Raw genomic sequence first — 4,098 nt, 5'->3', positions numbered from 1 at the left:
TTGTAGGATAGGTCTAGTGTTGATGAAATCCCTCAGCATTTTTTTTTTTTTTTTTTTTTGTCTGGGAAAGTATTTTTTCTTCATGTTTGAAGAGCATTTCTGCTGAATATACTATTGTAGGGTAAATTATTTTTTTCCTCCAGTGCTTTAAATATGTCATGCCACTCTCTTCTGGCCTGTAAGGTTTCCACTGAAAAGTCTGCTGTTTACATGTATTGGAGCTCCATTCACATGTTATTTGTTTTCTCTTGCTGCTGTTAGGTTTCTTTTTTTATCCTTGATCTTTAGGAGTTTGATTATTAAATGTCTTGAAGTAGTCTTGTTCTGAGATGGCTCACTGTTCTGAGCCATCTGAAGCTGGGAGTGAAGTGACACAAGCACCCCAAGACCACCACCACTATAACTGTACTGGGTCAGACCTGAAGCCAGCAGAGTACTGGGTCTCACCCAAGGCCTGCTGTAACCATCCCCTGGCTACTGCCTGTGTTTGCTCAAGGCCCTGGGCCTCTAAAATCAGCAGGTAGTAAAGCCAGCCAGCCCTATGTCCTTCCTTTCAGGGCAATGTGTTCCTCCAGGCTCCAGGCAGATCCAGAGGTGCTGTCAGGGAGCCAGGAACTAGCATCAAAAACCTTAGAAGTCTACCTGGTGTTCTATTGTACTGCGGCTAAGCTGGCATTCAAACCACAAAATGCAGTCTTTCTCACTATTCCCTCCCCTTTCCAAAGGCAGAGGAACCTCATTACATAGCCGCTGCCACCACAGGCTCATTGGAAATACTGCCAGACTTCCGCCAATGTTCCCTTAAGGCCCATGGGCTCTTCAGTCAGCTTGCGGCAAATGCTGCTTGGCCTGGGACCCACCCTTCCGGGCAATACACTCCCCTCTGGCCCAGGGCAGGTATATAAATGCCATCCAAGGCCAAATATTGGAATCAGGGACCCCAAGAGCCCACTTGGTACTCTACATCCTTGTGGCCGAGGTGGTACCTAAGGTGTAAGACAAAGTCCTCTTTACTTTTCTTTCTGCTTTCTCAAGCAGAAGGGGGCTTGCCCTGTAGCTACCACAGCTTGGAATGTGCATAGTCTCACCTGAAGCCAGCAAGTCTGAGTCTTATCCAAGGCATTTGATGTGGGTATCACTGCTAATTATTCCAGGCCCAAGAGCTCTTCAGTTAGCAGGTAATTAATTCTGCAAGAACTAGATCCTTCAAAGCAGTATGTTCCCTTCTGGCCCAGAATGTGTCTGGAAAAGTTGTCTGGGAGTTAAAGCCTCATGTCTTTGACTCATCCCCTAACATGCTGTGACTCAGCTGGTATCCAAGATGGAAGAACAAGTTCTTCCCACTCTTCCCTCTCCTCCCCTCAAGCAGAAGGAAGAATTCTCTTTTGGAGCCACTGGCTATGCAGCCTGAGGTTAGGGGAGGGATGATGCCAGCACTCCCTTAGCCACTCCAACTGGTGTTTCAGTAGGTCATATGTCCCCACCAGTCCACTATCTCTGGGCCCAGTTCAGAACTAGGACTCACGTAAGAGTTGCAGTCCTTGTGGCCTGGACTGCCTTTCAAGTTCATTTTGGGCCCCATAGCACTTTAGCCCATGGTGGCGAGGCTTGTGGGAACTCAAGTTCCAACAGCTGAATGGGCAGTTCCCCTCTGGCTTGGGCTGGTTTAAATGCTTCCTCCGTGGGCAGGTGTTAGCTGAATTTGTTCCAGTTTTTCCTTCTGCTATAACAAGACAGTACTGAGTTCAATGTCTCACAATTGCTTTGCTCTCCCTCCCCCAGCACCCAGAAATGCTGTCCATACCACGCCACCACTGCTAGGATGTGGGGGGCAGTGTCATCAGCAATTTAAGACTGTTAATGCTACCTCTTCAGTGCCTCTTTCAGCAATATCAAGTTAAAACCAGGTACTTTGAGTGGTCACCGAGTTTTTTTTTCTTATGAGGGTGCTTTTTTGTGTGTGAACAGTTCTTAAATTGTGTCTTTGTGATGAGTGGGGGATGATTGCTGGAGCCCTTCTATTCCACCATATTGCTCCACCTCCTCCCCTGGGAGGGTAGGCTTTTGTTATGGAGGAATTCTGAGTATATTCAAAATGGTTACTCTTCCCCTCCCTCTTCTCCAAATACAGATAGAAATTTTTCTCTGATCCTCAAGAAAAGAACCTGGTGAAGCTCCAGGAGGTAAATCTGCAAAGTATTGGCTTCCATAGGGACTAGACCTTTAAGAGTTTAAACCTCAAGCTAGTACACTCAGCTTCCAGAAATTCCTCAAAATTACCATACAAGTGTTTCTACCCATTTATTGTTCTGGTGGCTTCTGCTTCAGGTAAACTGATCTTGGCTCTGATTCTTTGTATTTGCCAGTCTTTCCAGATTTAGAGGGCAGTGGGGAGGTAGTTTGCCCTGTAACCTTACTTCTTTGATGGACTTAAGAAATGTCATTGATTTTCAGTTTGTTCAATGTTTTTACCATTTTGAGTGTGGGAGTGATGACTTCCAAGCTTTTTTCATGTCACAGCTAAAAAAAAATATTTTAACAGCTTTATTGAGTTACATTTTACATATTATAAAATTCATCTATTTTAAGTGTCCAATTTGATGATTTTTGGCAACTTTACTGAGTAGTGCTAACATCACCATAATTAGTTTTAGAGTATTTTTATCCCAAAAGGAAGAGAGTGTGTTTTTGATATCTCCTACCCCCCTCACTGAAACCCTCCCACATGTCCAGGCCTAAGTGTCTTTGCTAATAAACTCTTCCCCCAGAGTTTTATTCTATCTTTTAAAATACCGTCTGCTAGATCTCTCCTAATTCTCAACCTTGTTTACCTCAAAGATTGGGTTTAGAGTTAGAAGACCGCACACTGCCACTTACTGTTTTTATCACATTAGGTAATTCACTTCAATGTTGGAGATTTGCTTGAGGAAAGCAAGGAAGAATAGTTTATCTTGCAACTAGCAATCAGTTCCCTGCAACTAGCAAAATACTGGGCACATAGGCAGTGATCAATAAATATTTGTGAATGAATGAATCTGGAAGATTCATGAAATATTAATAATGGGGTGTATGCAATCAAGGAGTTCGTGGACCTATGTATATAAATCTAAGAGGTAAGGAATGTCCTTCCTAACTCAGGATTTTTATAAGCCAGATGTTATGTTATTAAGAGCCTTTTCAGTGATATTCTTCCTCTTTTAATAAGTACGGAGGTATGCAGTAATGATTGACATCCCCTCATACTCTTTGTTTTTAAAATCTTTTGGCTATTCTTGGCTCTTCTATCTTCTCCATATTTATTTTAGAAACTGCTCTAGAAGCTCTGTGAAAAATCATACCATTTTATTCAAGGTAATGATCCCAGTCTTTGCTCATACTTATACTGGCTGTTATAACTCTACATTTATCCACAAACTCTAATACAGTAGTTCTGAGGTCTTACTTCTTCATTGTATCTTAGTTGGGATTAACTAAAGATTCTGGACCAGAAATGTTCAACTTGCCTAGACAAACCCAATGAAATAAAGAGATATTTGGGCAACTATATTTTACTATAGAGCCTTTCCCAAGTTTTATTTTTTGGAATTCTTCCCATATTATCCTTTTTGAGGGGAAGAGTGCATTTGATTCTAGTTATTAGTGTGATTTCCTATTATACTACAGAACTAAATTCATACAAGCACTGGTAAAAGGTAGATTCCACACTACTTAGAGGCTCAAGGACTAAAAGGTGTTAGTTCCTCCAAATCTAAATCCTGGGATCTTACCACATCTAACTGATCATGAAACAGAAGGAAGTTGAAGGGGTAAAGGTCCAGCTTACCTTATCCAAATAACTAAATGTATGGAAGAGACAGAAAGAAATGTTAGAGTTAATTTGCCTTGGCTAGTTTCGAAGAGCCAAACTCTGTTTTGACCTCGTTTTCACTTTAAAGTAGGAAACAGGAAGTAGAATGCAGGTTCATTTCTTAAAAGACCACCATGAAGCAAGTTGCCACTCTGCATCTTTTAGAGGGCAAGCAAGTAAGTGAGTGAAGAAAAGGGTGGAAAGCGGGGGCAGATCTGATGTGGAAAGAAGGGAGCTAAATATTTCCCTCC

The 4,098-nt window shown here is 42.1% G+C and overlaps 1 annotated feature.

Annotated features, from left to right (window-relative positions):
- Positions 1,059-1,724: an enhancer, noted in NCBI's record as "H3K27ac hESC enhancer chr3:179791123-179791788 (GRCh37/hg19 assembly coordinates)". NCBI's record gives its function as "activates a minimal SCP1, AML or CMV promoter by ChIP-STARR-seq in naive H9 embryonic stem cells {active_cell/tissue: H9 hESC(naive)}" and the evidence as "EXISTENCE:reporter gene assay evidence [ECO:0000049][PMID:30033119]".

The sequence above is a fragment of the Homo sapiens genome, chromosome 3, assembly GCF_000001405.40.
Source record: "Homo sapiens chromosome 3, GRCh38.p14 Primary Assembly".
Taxonomy (NCBI): domain Eukaryota; kingdom Metazoa; phylum Chordata; class Mammalia; order Primates; family Hominidae; genus Homo; species Homo sapiens.
This window is presented reverse-complemented; position numbering and strand designations above follow the sequence as displayed.